This window comes from Homo sapiens, chromosome 6 (genome assembly GCF_000001405.40).
Source record: "Homo sapiens chromosome 6, GRCh38.p14 Primary Assembly".
Taxonomy (NCBI): domain Eukaryota; kingdom Metazoa; phylum Chordata; class Mammalia; order Primates; family Hominidae; genus Homo; species Homo sapiens.
The window spans coordinates 146396671-146415698 of record NC_000006.12 but is presented as its reverse complement, the minus strand read 5'-3'; the positions used below and the strand labels follow the sequence as shown (position 1 = coordinate 146415698).

General features: G+C 37.3%; 1 protein-coding gene across 8 annotated transcripts in view; it reads right to left on the bottom strand.

The window, feature by feature from the left end:
- The window catches only part of GRM1 (glutamate metabotropic receptor 1), a 409895-nt gene that overhangs the window by 21903 nt on the left and 368964 nt on the right, over positions 1-19028 (bottom strand). For all 8 annotated transcript variants that reach the window (NM_001278065.2, XM_017010784.2, XM_011535782.2 and 5 more), the window contains one exon: positions 16000-16930. In NM_001278065.2, coding sequence (NP_001264994.1) covers positions 16000-16930 — 931 coding nt within the window. The remainder of the gene's footprint in view (positions 1-15999; positions 16931-19028) is intronic.

Here is a 19028-nt window from a genome sequence, read left to right as displayed (position 1 = left end):
ATGATATTCTAAACCTGGAATGGCCAAAACAATCATGGAAAATAAGAACGAAGTTGAAGGACTTACACTACCTGATTTTCAGACTAAAGTTTCAGTAATCAGGTCAGTGTGGTATTTGCAAAAAGATAGATGAATACATGGATAGAACAGAATAGAGAGGGTTCATAATCAGGACTAAACGTATGTTCAGTTGATGTTGACAAAAGTACCAGTCATTTAATGAGGGAAGGCAATATTTTCAAAAATTTATCTGGGTGAACTGAATGTATATTTAGAAAAAAACAAAAACAAAAACCTCGATCCATTCTATTATGAACTGAATGTGCCTCCTCCAAATTTATGCATTGAAATCCTAACTCCCAGTGTGATGATATTAGGAAGTGGGGCACTTGGGAGGCAATTAGGTCATGAGGGTAGAGGCTTCAGAAGTGAGATTACTACCTTTATGAAAGAGACCCCAGGGAGTTTTCCAATGTCTCTGCCAGGTGAAGATACAAAAAGAATACAACAGTCTGCATGGTGGAAGAGGGCCCTCACCAGAACCTGCCCATGCTGCTACCCTATTCTCAGACTTCATGTTCCAGAACTGTAAAAAATAAACTTCTATGGTATATAAGCCACCCAGTCTATGGATGGCTTTGTTATAGCCACACAAACTAAGACATGTTGCTTATGTATTACAAGATGTAGTACAGTAATAATGCAATACAGTAATAATGCATTACAGTAATAAATGTAAAAGTCAAAACAATAAACCTCCTAGAAAAAACACAGGAGAATATCTCTATGATCTGGGAATAGGCAAGGTTTCTGCACTGAACTATGCACTAACTGTAAAAGGAAAATTTATCAATTGGACTTCATCAAAATTAAAAACTTTCATTCATCAGAAAATACCAATAAGAAATGAAAAGTCAAAGACTGAGAAAAAATATTTGCAATAAATAAATCTGACAAAGAATTCAAATCCAGATTATACGATTAATAATAAAAGGCAGGCCAGGTGTGGTGGCTCACACCTGTAATGCCAGCACTTCGGGAGGCCGAGGCGGGCGGATCACAAGGTCAGGAGATCAAGACCATTCTGGCTAACAGGGTGAAACCCCGTCTCTACTAAAAATACAAAAAATTAGCCAGGCGTGGTGGCGGGCGCCTGTAGTCCCAGCTACTTGGGAGGCTGAGGCAGGAGAATGGCGTGAACCCGGAGGCGGAGCTTGCAGTGCGCCGAGATCGTGCCACTCCACTCCAGCGTGGACGACAGTGTGAGACTCCATCTCAACAACAACAACAAAAATAATAATAATAATAATAATAATAATAAAAGGCAAACGGCCCAATAAAAGAAGAAAGAATTTGGATAGATATTTCACAAAAAGATGGTATATAGATGGCCAATAAACACATAAAAAGACTCTCAAGATCATTAGTCATCAGGAAAATGCAAATGGAAACTATAATTAAATACCTCTACATACGCATTAGAGTGGCTAAAATTTAAAAGACTATCAACACCAAATGCGTCTCATACATTCTTGGTAGGAGGCAGAATGACAAAAGTATTGTGTAAATTTGTTTGGCAATTTCTTATAAGTTAAACATGCACCTGCCTTATCATGCAGCAATTTCATTCCTAAGCATATAACCACACTAAGTGAAAATATATGTTAATAAAATCTTGTGTATGTATGTTGATTGTACCTTTATTTGTCATAGTGAGAGTTAGAAACAACCCATATGTTCATCACCAGAAGAATAAACATTGTGTATTCATGCAATGGAACATTACTCAGCAATTAAAGGGAATAAGCTCTTGTTACATGCAAGAACATGGATGAATCTCATGTTGTGTGAAAGAATAGAGACATAATAATATCTACCTTATGATTTCATTTTTATTAAGTTCAAGAACAGGCAAGATTAATATATGGGGCAAGAAATCAGAATAATGGTTGTCTCTAATTGGAGAGCAGGATAGTTTAAAAAGGGACACTAGGAAACTTTCTAGAGTGAGGGCAATGTCCTAGGTTTTGGTTGTATGTTGGTTTCATGAGTGTATTACACATTTGTAGAATATATCAAACTGTCATTAATATCAATGCATATTATTGTATATAATTATACTTCAATAGCATGTACATGAAATGAGAGAATAAAAAGGATTACAGAAAATGTGTAAAAGATGATTTAATATATAGATACTAGGAATTCTTGACAAAGAAAACTAAAGCAAGGAAAGAAATGCTGAAGACTGTAATTCAAGAAAACTTTCCTAAAATTAAAAAAATGTAAATCCATGTTAAAAGAGAGCATTACATTTCTAAGAATATTGACCTAATACAATCAATACCAATAATTGTTCTAGTAAAATCACTAGACTTTATAGAAAAAGAAAAATATATTTTGGATGTCCAGGAAAAATCAGTAAGGGTTTTATAAGGGAAAAAAGATTATTATCAGATTTGGGGGCAGCAAAGCTTTTATACTAAAGGTAACTGGAACAACATATTGAAAACACTTCAGAAAAATAAAATGTGCACCCTGAATTATATCCAGCAAAATTGGCTTTTGAGATAAAGATTGTAGACAAAATGTTTTCAATAAGCAAAATCTAAGTTTTAGTCCCATGAACTTTTCCTGAGAAATCTACTCTAGAACAAGATTATAAGCTTCAGACTAGTGAAATAACTAGGGAGCCATCATCATAGGAACAGGAGGTAAGTGTTAAACATATCCTTAATTATAGAACTAAGATGAAATAAAAGTTAAAAGAAAGATGGTATTGTACTCAGATAATGTAGATATAGTAAAACTATTTTAAAAGGAGGAGATGGGAAGGTAGTATGAAATTTGTTTTAACTCTTCTCAGTAATGAGTTGGTAGTGGTAGTATTAGTAGTTATTCTAGGACATTTGTATGACTATCATGGAATAATAAAAATATATACTTATGAGATATTCTGACTCTCTCATCTGTTTTCTTGGGAGTTAGGATTCTTCCTGTGGGAGAAATGAAATATAGATGTAGTACATGTTAACACATGAGCCATCTATGAATTTCTGTCAGAAAAGCTGAGCACAGGTATAATAAGGTAGGCTTTGGGAAACAAACTTTGAGCTGATTCTTAAAATCTACTTACTACATAATTCAATATCTTAGAACAGTATGATGCCATATGAATGTAGTATGTTCATGGGTAGTGTGATAAGCAGAATGTGGGTATTGTCATCTCTACTGTAAATGAACTGAACTCTACAAAAAAAAATGTGAAAAACATGGTGAGCTGCTATGAACCCCAAAGACTGCACATTCCTAATGAAGGGTTTTCCAAGGGCCAGCCAGGATCTGGCTCTCGGTCTTGCTGTTGTCTTTCCCACTACTCACCTCTCAGGTCAATCCTAAATGCAGGGCTTATTTTTGTCTGCCCCTGAAAGAACGATATGTCAGCTAGGATAAGGCTTATATTAAACAGTTCATGAAGTAAGATTGTCACATGCCAGAATTCATTCCACTTTCATTTGCAATGGAAATAACATACAGCGTTGACAATGCTGCAACATATATCAATAGACTTGTAAGGGGAGACAAGACTTGACCATTGCTTGTTCACAGGGAGGCAGAAGGAGGGGATGGAGGGTTACAAGGTTCAATAGTTAAACATTTGATGGCATCAAATGAAGACAGTTAGGTTCATCTTAAATTTGTAATGAACCCATTGGTCACCAAGCCCTTCACCCACCTCCACCTTACAGAGATCTGTGGCCATTTCCAATGTTTTCTTGGGTGACTGCTTTTCTCTGCTCTCCTCCTTTTCCAGATCAGTCATGTTTTAGTATGTTTATACATTTATTCTGGTGATAGTTCAACTTTTATAGGTCTTGTAGCCCAACAATCCTGAGGCAAAGGCATGTCTCTGTTGGCTCTGTGTATATCTTAACATTGAATTTTTTGAGCAACTTTACTTTTACTTTTGTTCTTACTTAAGTATTTCTCTTTGTTCACTGTCTTCGTCCCACCTGTCAAAGCCACAGGTCAGGCCACTGTAATCTCTTCCCTGGACCCTGTACCAGTCTCCTCCTGGAGCTCAGGCTCATATCTTGCTCGTCTCCTAAACATCCTGCATACTGGGGGTACAGTGATAGTTCTGAAACACACATCTCACCAATCACAGTGCACACTGCTCTGTGACCTGAGTGGATTCTCATTGTCCAGAAGATAAGGTCCAAGCTCATAAGGCTTCCTCTAACTAGTTCTAAGTAATCTGGCCCTAGAGGCCTGTCCAGTCTTGTCTCACTGTTTTCCTTCTTACTTCCTCTGCTCCAGGCATCCTGGAATTGCTTCATTTCCATCATCTGTGAGTGCTTTTTTTCCCGTCTTTACATCCAGATTCCCTGACTGCTCTAATCCATCAGCCTTCTTCCTTTCCTAACCAACTGCTTCTCCTTCTTCAGAAATCTTAGCTAGGGTAATGCTTCCTGGAAATATTTCCAGCATTCTTGGACTGGTTGGAGACTTCTAATAACACTCCCATAACACCCGTACTTCTCATAGAAACACTCACTATGCTTGTATTGTCTTGTTCAATGCCCAGTCTACTAGCTAGATTTCAGTTTCCACAAAGTCAGGAGCCAGATCTATTTGTTCACCACTGCAGTTGTCCCAGTGCCTGACACAATTAGGTGCTTGAAAGTTGTTTATTGAATGAATGAGTCAACAGTATTTATCTTCTGGATCTTAAGAGGTATGTTTCAGCCCTTGAAACCAAGCCTATAATTCTAACCATCCTAGCAAAAGTGATTTTATACTAGGATTAGCCCTGAAATAACTTTTGGCTTCACATACTTGAAGCTAAACAAACATTCCTTATAAGGAATACCAACCCTACTGAAACCTTTTATTTTTTTCTTCATTTTCCTAATAAGCTGAGGTCTTGTTTGCCTCCAAATCTCTTTACATCGTGGTCCCTCTGCCTAGAATACGCTCTCTGCACTTCCTCCACCTTAACCCCCTCTTTCTTAATCTCCTTCTTGGTCTAGCTAATGGGAACTATTGTCCATAGAGCTTCGTAGACCTTCCCTACCTCCAAGGCCTTTACTAGAGGCCCTCTAGGTGCCTCCCAAACATTCCCTACCTCCTCTGTTGTAGAACTTCACTTTGTCACATTGTTGTGGCCAGGTTTCTTGCTGGTATTCCTCTACTCCCCTACACTCAAACTTGATTAAATACTCACTGATTTTCTTTTTTTATTCTATTAACTAATGTTAACAATCATATTTTATTGTTGTCCTGTAACTTATAATGTATTTTTATTAACTCAGAAGACAATGTCCTAATGATCTATTTTCTTTATAAGACAAAGCAAAGATCACAGACTGTGCTATTTTCTTTACCAATAAATTGTCCACAGTTTGCAAAATAGTCGACTCTGTATTTTTTTTAAATTAAGGACTGAATTATAAAAACCTTACTTCAAGTTTGCAGTAAGACACTAATGGAATCAACAGCTACAGTCACAGAACTGGCTGACAGCATCCCTGTTCTCCCTCATCCCTACTCCAACTCCACTATCATAATTTCTTTTAATGTACTTTTATTACATAAGTCTATATTTTTTCATACCCATCTAAGCCAAATAATATGAGAAATATGAAGTTTGATCAAGTGGAAAAAGATATTAATTCCCACAGTATTTGAGGGTATTTGCTAGGAGCATGGTAACTTGAGAATATATTTTTATAACTGGAAAATTTGGGGAAGGAAAGTATTTCCTACTGTTATTGATTTCTTTCAAAGAGTTGTTTTTCATTACCTGGAGCAGCATCACCTAGGGGCTCAGCCTAATTTTGTTAGCAGCCAATTCCTCATATATCTTACAGATAATTTGCATAGAGGCTAGTATTAAGTTGCCTTCAGTTATAGAAGGCTTCCCTTACTCTGTTGAAATAAAATGTTATTATAGGTACATTTTTTGTTAACTTGATTAAATACTCACTGATTTTCTTTTTTTATTCTATTAACTAATGTTAATAATATTTTATTGTTGTCCTGTAACTTAAAATGTATTTTTATTAACTCAGAAGACAATGTCCTAATGATCTATTTTCTTTATAAGACAAAGCAAAGCAAAACAAAACAAAACAAAACAAAAACAAAACTTAATGTTCGTCTTTTCTTAGTCTTCATCCCGAGGCAATGGAGAGGCATTTTATAGCCAGAAATCTATATAATAGAAGTGAAGATAAGGTCTGGCTTTTAAACTTAGTTGACTCTACACCTCAAACTTTCATAACAAATGGATCCTCTAACAGAGCCATGGAGTTTTCTTCCCCCTCCATGGACAGTATTTCTCTCTGTGCTATGCAGAACCCTGTGGGTTGAGGGAATTCAGTCATTCTCTTTGGGTATCTGGACCTATAATAACATGTGAACTCATGAGCATTGGCATGGTTATCCTTAGACTCACCATGCGTGCTCACGAAATAAAGATATCTGAGGAGAAGATGAAGAAGGCATAGGGCGAGACAGGAGGCAAGAAGACAGAAACCTGGAGCCTTTCCACTCTGGACCCAGTCTTCTATGTCATATGAGATACCTGATATTATTTCTTATATTTTTACATTAAATACCCCACCCCATTTGCTTAGGCTAGCTTAAGTTGTCGTCTATAACTTGCAGCCAAAGTATTCTAATTAATGACCCTTTAGGCTCTATTCTTGTGATCTGAAGCTTCCAAACCCACTGAGACTTTTCTCTTATTTTCTTCATTCTCCAAACTCTCAATACTTTTGCTCCTGGACTAGCTTTACAACACGTTCACACAGTCTGCTTCACTTTTAAGTTGATAACACTTTACACTGGACACTAAGGCTAGCAGATGGGATGCAAATGACCTCATCTTTCTTTAGCTGAGGCCAAGCAGGGACAGGTTGCCAAACCGTGTCATACAGGGTGTCCTTCTTCACACATCTCACACGGAGTAACAGTAGCATGCCTCCACTTCCAGCAGACTTACAGCTCCTCTATTTTTTATAGCACGAATATAATGAATGCATAAGGCTAAGGCATATCCCCAGTTTCTAGAACTCTCTTTACTTGAAGGGGTAATTACGAATTTTATGTTAGTATAGTATAAGAACTTTCATATACCTTCCCATGTTTTTATAATTTTAATGTCACGGGCTAACAATTATTGAGATTTTTCTCAATTATTTAGGTATTGTGCTGTGCTCTTTATACAAATTTTCTCATTTTATCCTCCTCAGAACCCTATGAGATAAGCACTATTATTATCCATTTTTATAACTGAAACACATAGAAGTTAAGCAATTTGCCCAAGGACTAGTAATTTGAAAGAAAACAGATGACTCGATAGACATCTGCTATGAGCTGAATGTTTGTGTTTTCCAAAACTCATATGTTAAAATCTCCCAATGTGAGAGTATGAAGAGGTAGGGCCTTTGGAAGATAATTAGATCAGGAGGGTGGTGCCCTCATGAAGGAATCAGTGCCCTAATGAAGATACAGGAGAGAGCTTGCTTCCTCCCTCCTCTGCTCTCTATCATGTGAGGATACAATGAGAAGATGGCCATCTTCAAACCAGAAGAGGACCCTCACTAGGACCTCACCTGCTAGCACCCTAATCTAGGACTTCTCAGCCTCCAGAACTGTGAGCAATATATTTCTGCTCTTAAGTCACCCAGTCTATGATATTTTAGTTATAGCAGTTCAAACTGACTAAAAACAACATCTGACTCTGAAATTTCCCATTCACATGAGTCACCACATTATACTGTTTCTTATCATTTCATGCACACAATGAGATTGTAACCACGTGTTATACCATGAATTTTTTGGGAATGGGCTCTATCTCTTATTAATTGAATTTAATGCGTGAATAATAAATACATTATTGAGGTAACAAACTTAGAGAGCCACTGAATGATAAAAATAAGTGATTTTTATCCAGAAAACAATGATTTTTGGCCCCATTTACTCCTCTTATAAAAATGGCATTGAGCTTTCCAAGCCTCAGATTCTTTATTTGCATGATGGTGTTATGAATGTACCCACCTTGGGCCATTACACATAATTATCTGGGAATATTTATGGATTCAGTTTAGAAACTACACATTAACATATGAGAATAAAATATTAAGTTTCAGAACTTGAATATGCATTGACTATACAAGTTTATCTGAATCTGAAATATAAAAGATGACCTATATTTAAAAGGAATTATGTTCTCTTTGAAGATATAGCATAATAGGTGCCCATGGTCTGTCTCAGGTGAGAACTTGAAAATATGAGCCATAAGTATTAAAAGTATTAAAAGTAGCTATTTCTGTGTTATTTGTGGAGCAAGTGTGTTATTTGCAAGAGAAAAATCAAGGAAATGGTGGTGACTGCAAATTTGCTGCACCAGGCTGGGGACAGGGAATGTGCATCTCCATTATCCTGGGGCCATTCGCCCCTTCCTTGCACTTGAGCATGTGGCTTTCCAGGTGGTCTCCTGCAGCAGCATTGTCCTCCACACACCATTTACTTACTAAGCTACGTTCGTTCTAAAGTATTCTAAGGGCCTTCATGTGAAGAAAAAGTGTGGCATCTTTCAGGAAGTGAGAACATTCTGGCCTGATTTTTTGAGGAGCACAGGACTTTACCTCAAACGAAATATCCTTGCGCTGGCCACCTAGGCACTATGACCCGTCAGGGATGGGTCTAAGGATTTCTAACTCTTTCCAATCACACAGAACAGATGTGCATGCTGTATCCCCAACTGAGTCTAACTCTGGATACACAATACCCTTCTTTCTTCTTCTTCTCCTTCTCCTTTATTCTTTTTGTTGTTGTTGTTTGTTGTTGTTTTGGAGATGGAGTTTTGCTCTTGTTGCCCAGGCTGGAGTGCAGTGGTGTGATCTTGGCTCACTGCAACCTTCGCCTCCTAGGTTCAAGCTATTCTCCTGCCTCAGCCTCCCAAGTAGCTGGGATTACAGGTGCATGCCACCACGCCTGGCTAATTTTATTTTTGCATGTTTAGTAGAGACAGAGATTTGCCATGTTGTCCAGGCTGGTCTTGAACTCCTGACCTCAGGTGATTCACCCACCTCAGCCTCCCAAAATGCTAGGACTATAGGCGTGAGCTACCATGCCCAGCCTACCCTTCTTTCTTCTACAAAGGGCACCTACTTACAGGCTGAGAGTGCTCCAGCCCATCAGTAATTCCAGAAGAACACACCTTCCTTTCCAGGCTTTCCCTCATTTGTCCCTTCTCAAATCTTACTGTCAATGTTTATAAGTCCAGAGGCCCAATAAAATCAGTAGGATGGGGTTTATTTTCAAATTTTAATAAAAATGATGATAAGTTCCCAGCCTGATTTTTCATACTATGTTAATACCAACCATTACACATCAACACAGGTGAGTGAGAACCAGTGTCACCCACAAACATCCTCAGAGTTGGTGCTTCATTGTCATAGTTCTCCATTAATGTCAGATGGCTCTGCTAACAGCCTAGCTCTCGGCCAGGCCTCCCGGCACACACCAGATGATCTCTCTCTTATGTTTCCAACTTTTCCTTCTTTGTCACCTCTTTTCTCAGATATTACAAAGAAGCTTAAAGTTCTCCTCTATGATACCCTTCCTCCCTCTTCTTCAACCTCCTTAAATACTGTCGGAATTTCCTACTTCTTTTAATGCCAAACTCCTCAACTTATTGCAGTATAACTTCTACCCAGATTATAGCACTGAAACCTCTCAAGGTTAACCATACAGTCCCCATCCTTGGTGATTCCAAGGATAAGACCTCAAGTTCTATCTTATTGAAACATTCTGTTATTGACTGAATATATGAGTCATTCTCCCCAAAATTCATCTATTGAAGCCCTAATAGAGAATGTTTTGGAGATGGAGACTTTGGGTAATTAGGTTTAGATGAAGTCATAAGGATGGGGCTCCTAGGATGGGATTAGTGCCCATGTAAAAAACAAACAAACAAACAAACAAAAAAACACAACAGAGCTGTCTCGCTGTCTCTATCATTGCTATCTATATCCTCTATCTCCCAAAGAAGAAGTCATGTGAGCACACAGCAAGATGGTGGCTGTCTGTGACTCAATGGGAAAGCCTTCACCAGAAACAAACCATGTTGGCATCCTGATCTTGATTTTCAGCCTCCGGAACTGTGAGAAAATACACATCTTTTATTTCAGCAGCTCAGTTGGTGGTATTTTGTTTTGACAACCTGAGCGCATTAATACAAGGTCTCCTTGGTTTCCATAATATTGCATCCTTTTATTTCCCACATTCTTTTTGATAACCTTTGTCTACTGCCTTCAGATTTTCCTTATGTTATCTCTTAAGTGTAAGAGTTCCCTAATGTTTGTTCTTCCCGGTATTTCTTCTTTTCTCATGTCATAACCACCCTCTTGGGCACTTTAAATATTTTGACAATTGATCTTCAAATCTAGAGGTCTGGCCTAGACCTTTCTCTTAAGCTCCAGACTTAAATTTCTAAGAATCTTATGGATACCTCCCTTTGGATGACTTTATAGCACTTTCAATTAATTAATCTGAAACCCATCTTGTCAATATCTCCTCTGTCCTGTTCCTGTATTCCTTATCTGTTTTAATAGTAGCAGTATTTCACTTGGGCTCAAATCATAAGAGTCCTATTTTCTTATTATTTCTTTCAGCTCGCATAACTGGTATTTCAAGTCTAGTGAATTAAGCTCAGAAAACTTTTTCATATGCATGTCTTGGATTCAACTTTACTGCTCTAGTTTAAGGCTTTTATTTTTACCTGTTATTGGATTACTGTGGCACTCTATTAACTGGTCTTTCTATAAGTCAGTTTCTTCCCCTAAAGCTTATACATGATGATGAAACTTCACAAAAACCTTTATTGCACCTTGTGATTTATAGAAAAAGTACTGAAACTTCCTCTTGGTACATTAACCATTATCTATATTCTATACTCTTCTTGCATTTGCAAAGTTGCCCAACACTACATCTCTCTACGTGCTTCATGCATAACAAACTCTACATCGTGGCATGAAAGTGCATTAACATTTCTGAATCTTCACTTATGTTATTTTCTCTATATAAAATAGTCTAGCATAGCACAATTTCTCCAGTTGAAAAACATGCTTTATGGTCAAGTTCAAATGCTACTTTTACTCGAAGATCTTTCCAATCCTTCTACAGATACTACTCCATTAACTGGACTTAATCTCTTTCTTCCCTGGGCACTGAGAATGTTATATTGGTTTTCTACTATGGCACATAGCACAGTACATTTAGTTATATTTTTTAGTGTCTCCCTTCCCATATTGCAAGATTGGTGCAGTCAGGGCCTGCCTCTTATATATATATATTTTATCTTGACTACCTAGCACCATATCAAGTACCTAAGTGCTTTTAAGCTTACTGTTGAAACAATGATTGATTACATAAATGAATGAATGAGAAATTGATCCTCAATAAATATTACTATCCAGTAGTAAAATTCTATCACAAATGTTTCAATAAATCTTCTGATGTTTACTATAAATATCATGAAGAATTACAGTAGCTTTTAAAGCTATATATTGTGTGATTAAGAGAAAAATAATTACAAAATGACAAGATTATCCTGTTTGTGAGCCAGAATAGTAAATGAGTTCTTTCAAATAAGTTCTACTAGGGTATAGTGACTATAGTTAACAATAGTTCAAGTAGTTAGAAGAGAGAATTTTGAATATTCCCAACACTAAGAAATAATAAATGTTTGAAATGATAGATGTGCTAATTACCCTGATTTGATCATTACACATGGCATTCAGGTATTGAAATATTACAGTGTACCCTATAAATAGGTATAGTTATTATGTGTCAATTAAAAATAATAAAAATTTAGCAGAGCTATAGACATAAATGAGAACTGTATCAAAAATAAAAAAGAGGAGAACACGCCACTTCCATTTGGCCATGATATCTGTAAACTCACTAATACATTTCTTTTCATAATCAGAGGAAAGAAAACCAAAATGCTTACCCAGGACATAATGACTAATGCTGCAGGCTTATTTGCTTCTACTGGTGGACAAAATATATTTCTAGCAGAGAACAAAGTGGAAAATTTCCTCTGAGCATCATTCCATTTAGAATTTCACTTGGTTCTTGACTCAGTTAAAAAAAAACTCAAATACTCAAGAAATAATCAAGGTAGCATATAATAATATCCATTTACTTAGTAACCTATATTTTAAAATTACTTCCTTGTGTCAGTCTGATGCCTTTAGGGAGGAAAGGTTGTAATTGTTTTTAGTTTTGTACACAATTTTGCATGCAAAATATCATAGGAATGTATTGTCACATTTTAGCTCCATGTGCCATCAAATTGTTTGGCACTCAGTGATTTTATTTATCTAGGAATTAACTAGAGATGTTAGATTGACATGTAATCACTGATGTAATTACTTTTTAAAGAAGCATGTCATTTATATGATATTTGAATTTTTCAGTTGAATAATGTTAACTCATTTTTCTTTAAAAGGAAGTGTTAAATTACTTGGATCTAATTAATTTACTTCCTCATAAATGTCCAGGGATTTTCATTTTCTTCTATTGCCAATAAATCGATTTTTTCAATATTTTAAAGTCTACTGAGTCCTGCATATTTTTCCATTCATGTTCATTTTTTTAAAAAGCTAAAGAAATGAGAGGTGTCAAAGGTAACTTCAGCTGATCTCCCAGGATACAAGTATGCCTGAAGGGACTTCTGATTATAAATAACTCAAGCAACCCAAACACCCAGTATATTGATTAAACTCCTCCTATATTATATTCCAGAAAATGTAAAGCAAGTGTCCAAACCTTTGGTTGTGTCAGATATTCAGCTGTGAATAAAATAAAAAATTGAAGTAAACTTTGCTAAAAACAGACAACGCAACATCATTCCAACCACGTATCTCAGAAACAGCCTGTCATGAGAATGCCGTTGGACTTGCAACTCCTCAAAACAATGTTCAAACAGATAGATCAGTTGGAAGCTCTTCATTACAGCATCTGTTCTGTGTTTATAGCTACACATGCAGACTGCTGAACACCCTCAGTGTACCATAAATGTAGGAATTACACATCTAGAATAGCAATAAACTCATTGGGTGATGTGTTCTCTAGAGTTTTTAGCCCCTTTGCTTCAGTTGGCAAAACTCTACCAGATTTTTGCTGCTGTAAAAATATTAGACTGTTTGTGCTTTTTGTAACTTTGGAGACAAACTAAGAAAATATAAAATGGCAATAAAAAGGTAAAAACATAGCATTGAGATTCTTTTTTATATACTAAAATTACAGTCTCACATAGTTACAACAGGAGCAACAGCAGAACAAATGAGAAAAATGAGTAAACAGATGATTGTTTTCCGTAGAAGGTTAGCCTCAAATACCCTCTCTGGGTCAGCTCATTTGCTTGGTGCATATTGGAGTAGGTATAAGTTGTACTCAGAAAGCTGCGGGTTATAACTTTTAATTAGAAATATATTTCTTATTAAATGAATGTAATAATGCTTGATAAATTGCAGCTAATAGTTCAACAGTTTACTGATGAAACCAGCACTTCCTAGACAACCAATCCAGTTAATTTAGACCATGCTGATTTTTCTCTCAAAAGCAAGATCCCACATGAAATTAATTTCTAAATTTCTAATAGTGAAGGGAATGCTCTCAGTTTATAAGGAAAGTGGTTCCAGGTGTGGGAAGGTAATCTCTTGCAGCAATGCCTGGACATGAGAGAAATACTCAGCATTGTTAATGTGACATCAGATAGCTCCAACTCATCTCTGCAGCAGGCACTACATACTCTTCATTAGTCACTGTTCTCTTAAACAGGTGCCCATATCTGTCTGTACATAGAATCACTGGGAGAGCTTTCAAAAATGCATATTCCTGGGCACCAACACAAGATAACTTAATTATATAGGTTTTCTCTTTACCATAAATGGTTAGAAGAAAAACTTTCAAAAATGACCCATACCTAAAAATTACAAGGAAGCTTCTGAAGAACCATAATAAAGGCAAGGTAATTAGAAACATGGAGTGGAATAATGGTGGATGTTGTAATGGAGCCCTCAGAAAACCATAGGTGTTGCAATAAAGTGAATCTTTTAATCCTTGTGAACACTCCAGTTTAAGAAATGCCTTCTTTCTTTTCATTTTCTTTCCTCTTATTTCTTCCCTCTTAATGGAAATTGTTAGTGATGCCATTTTACATCTGGACTAATTGTCTAATTATTTTTTCCCATTTCGTGGCACTGTTGGTTTGCTTTCATGCTCCCTGATAACTCCCTGCCAGGAGTTTGCTCCTGAGGGGAGTTTGGCTAGAATAAAAAAAACATGGTAAGAGGAAAAAAAAGGCTAACCACTTTTATGATCAACATCCTATAACAAACTTAAAAATTGATATACCAAGAAGTAAGCGTACATTATTGGCTTCATCCTAGTTTTGAGAAAATTAGGGATGTCTTTACTTGAAATCCATAAAATGGATTTCAAAGATATGTTTTCCCAAAGACTCCCTTGTTAGATCCTCAAAGTATATAAATTCTGCAAAAGATGCCCACGTTGCTTCTTGGAAAGTAAAGATACAAAAACCAAGAAATTTAAAGGATGTAGAATTTTTGGCATGTGTTAAAGTGAGAAGTATCATATCATTTAAGATCTAAATAAAGAATAACTAAGGGGAATTACATTGAAAAGTTACAAAAATTCTACTATCACATTTGGGATTAAGAAAATAATAATAATAAATAAATACAAGTTATAAAAATTTACAGCAGAGTACTTTTCTCACCTACAAAATAGGGGGAAATAATGTTCCTGCTGACAGGTTCAGATGGATGGAATGATTATTAACAATGTGTACCTTATCATGATTATTATTAAAACTTTTTATTTTTAAAGGATTGTTTGAAAGAGTGAAATTAATGCTGCTGGTGGAGAAAATGACTTAATCTTTGGATACTTCGGTTACCTTTAGAACTTCAAGCATCCGTGCTATTTTTGAAATAAAAAACGTTACATGAAATTTGTTTTCATGGGTCACAGAAAGAGGTGACATATGCAAATTTAACATATGCTTCTTCTCAAAATAGAAAAAGGATAGGAAAGTGCTTATTATAAAAACAACTCAGAAGAATTATAGAAATATAATTCATCTGGACTTTGAATAGAATTCATCTGGAATTCATCTGGACTTTAATGTTCACACAAAGTCTCAAGATTGGGGCTTATCACCTGGTTCCCTTTTTTTATTTTTTTTTATTTTTTGGTGCTTTATGACTAAGAAACTATTCTGATCATGACTTTGCAGTAGCAGAGATGACCCAATTCATGTATAACATCGTGGAACATGTTTATTACAATGTACATTCCAGTTCAATAAATAAGAGAGATATGATAAGTCAGTTGCTTGCAGGATCTTATTTTAGGACATACTTGGTGCTCAGTAGTGATCAAATTTTGAAATGGCAATTTCTCCAGGTGCTAAGTTTTCCTCCCTTTCACCCCGGTTTAGAAGTGGTGTGATTCCGGAATGATAAAAATAAACCAGAAGCTACTTTCACCATGGTCAGAACTAGACATTATAATTAGTGCTTGCCTCTCTGACCCAGCCCCCAGGGGCAAAATGATGCTCCATAGAAGGAGGTCCCATGCGAAAGGGTAAGTTACTGGCAGAACCGAAGCTTCCGCTTCTAGGCAAGAATAAAGATTGTTTCCTGCTCCTTTTCTTTCAAAGAAATGAAAACAGGGAGGAGCCTCAGTTCTGCATTCTTACTGCAACAGAATGTGAGATTTAAGAAAGGGAGAAAAGATTAAGAAAGGAAGAGAAAGACATGGGGGAAATGGAAGAGACAACTCAGAAAACTAGAGGAAGATATGAGAGACAGAGAAAGAGAGAGAGAGAGAGAGAGAGAAAGAGACAGAGAAAGGAAGAGAAAAGAGAGACAAACAGGTCAGATAACTCACTTGGCATTCCCTGCCCCTGCCTTCTTTCTTCGGAAGATGTTGAGGAAAGTGTTGGAGCGGCAGGGCAGCTTGCCATCGCCAACATGCATGCGGACAACATCAGAGGTGGTGAAGGCACTGCGGACATTCCTCTCAGGCTTGGCAATAATGATGTACATCTTGGGAGTGAACATGCACCCCAGAGCCACTGTTACACTGAGACTCACTGCAAAGCAAGTTGTGATGATCTTGTAGTTGCTCCCAAAGTAAATGGGCACAAAAGCTAGCCAGATGATACAGGTGGTGTACATGGTGAACGCGATATATTTGGCCTCGTTGAAGTTGGCGGGCACGTTGCGGGTCTTGAAGGCATAGTAGGTACAGCTCATGATGAGGAGTCCATTGTAGCCCAAAGGGGCCACCACACCCAGGTTGCTGGTATTGCAGATAAGGTAGACTTCCTTGATACTTGGGTAGGACAGAATGGGCATAGGGGGTTCCATGATGATCAGGGTTACCACCAGGGTTAGTTGCACACTAATCAGAATTGAGGCAATGATCACCTGAGCCCAGGCACTCATGAACCTGGGCTTCCGGGTGCAGATCTTCTTCTTGCTGCCAGCCAGGATGCGTGCAATACGATTGGTTTTAGTCACTAAAGCAGAGTAGCACATCGCAGAGGAGAGGCCAACCAAGAGGCGCTGGAGGTAGCAGGAGGTGGTAGTAGGTTTGGCAATGAGAGTGAATGGGCACACATAACCAAGGAAGATGCCAGCTAGGATGATGTAGCAGAGCTCCCGACTGGAGGATTTGACCACTGGTGTGTCCCGGTACAGTACAAAGATTAGGGTGACAAACAAGGTAACAAGGATTCCCAGGCATGAAAAGGCGATGGCTATAATGGATTCGATGTTGCTCCACTCAAGATAGCGCACAGGAATGGGCTCACAGCCTGTGATGAGAAAAATCATTTGAGCATGAATCCAAGGTTTCTGCTAGGAATAACAACTTGCCTATTAATTACCAGAGACACAGTCATCTTTGCATCCTTCATGATTTACAGCATTTAATGCTTTTTTAAAAATGCACACTATTACACAAATAAAGATACATCATTGTCTTACCTGGACAATTATGTCCCCAAACTTAATCTTATTACAAGCCTAATGTGACATACTTGAACCTATAAAAATGATCTTTTCTTCCAACATCAGCATTATAAATAGATGTCATTCTGTGAATGGGACTCGGTTCTACATGTTCAGAAAAAGAAAACACCCAAATAAAACTTTATTTCCAGTGAGGGTTAAATGGTGATAATGGGATAGAATAAATTATTAAGAAATAAACTAACAAAACTTTTCTTTTGATGCAGCCATTGTCTGTAGGCAAGTCCAGCTCATAGACAAGTCGTTTTTGGCCAGCAGAGTGTTTTCAATGTAAATTTCATGGACTTCTTTAGAAGAATCTGCATTCTCCTGTTTCCTGCATAACTCTATATTATACCTTAAATCTCACTCTTCTCATGAATCATGAATGATCTGTATCTGAAACCTGAGGGCCTTTGAGTTAGTAACCTCTAGTGGACATATCCAGGAAGAATGAAATCTCCCCTAACCCATCTCTTGAAAGGAAAGACTAGAATTTGTTCCTAAATTCCTGGCTTATCTTTTCCTTCTAGATGGAGAATAAAATGTATTTTGTATTTCAGAGTGAGAGAAAAATTTGTCAGGCTCTGGGACAACCCCTTCACAGAATTTTGTAATCACAAAATATTTGGTCTGGGCCAATATTTCCCAAATTGTGAGAATAAAGTCATTTCCATAAATTTAGGAAAAGACTCATTGTTCTGTAGCCATGGCAACAAGGAACCACCAGAACCAGTGCTAAACCTGTCAGTCAATCAACAACTTGCCTCAGTGAACATGTGTTTGGATGCCAAGCAAGCACTGTCAGCCCTTACTTCTGATAATCACTCAGGCAGGATCAGAATCACTTCAATAAATGAGTGCCAACTAATCAACAGTCTCATGTGAGTAATCGTATTGCTACAGGTGATGTCAACCAGCTCTCAGAAGCTGCAAGGTTTTCAATCCCTAAACTCCACACTTTCTAAAAACTCCATATAAAATGAATAGTCTTCTGCTCAGAGAAAATGTATCTGCCTAGCATAACTATCCCTTACTATAGTAAGCAATTTGTTTAGCTTTTGTGCTTTTTTTTTTTTTTTTTTTTTCTTTTTTTTTTGAGACGGGGTCTCACTCTGTTGCCCAGGCTGGAGTGCAGTGGCGCAATCTCAGCTCACTGCAAGCTCCGCCTCCTGGATTCACGCCATTCTCCTGCCTCAGTCTCCCGAGTAGCTGGGGCTACAGGCACCCGCCACCATGCCCGGCTAATTTTTTGTATTTTTACTAGAGACGGGGTTTCACTGTGTTAGCCAGGATGTTCTCGATCTCCTGATCAGCCTGCCTCGGCCTCCCAAAGTGCTGGGACTACAGGCATGAGCCACCACACCCAGCCAGCTTTTGTGCTTTTTAAAAAAAATTTTATGTATTTAGTCTCACCATGTTTCATATTTCTAGAGGCTTCACCAAGATAATTTTGAAGACTCCTTATTTGATAACATTCCAGGAGATGCTCTGATCAACAGGGTCACTCACTGGACCCCCTCGTGCCCGCATTCTGTCCTTCCCATGTACTAGCATGAGAGTCATTCTCAATAATTTTCTCACTCTGGCTAATTTTACTGAGCTCTTGTTGCTGAATTTATGTAGTTGTCCTAGGATTTGTAATCATGTAGGTCTTTATATAGAAGGCACTTAAACTTAGGTCTTTGTGTAAGGTTATTTCACCTGTATCTTTATATATTAAGTCATATAACCTTTGGTTTTGAAATGCACCATTTGGTAATTAGACATAAGCTTTTTATTATGTCAATAAATAGTTCACTTTAGAGATACACAATTTGATAAATATTTTTTTCCATATCTGTTTATTCCCTTGCTGTTTCTTTGCTTTTGCTGTTATTTACATACATACACAAAGTCTTA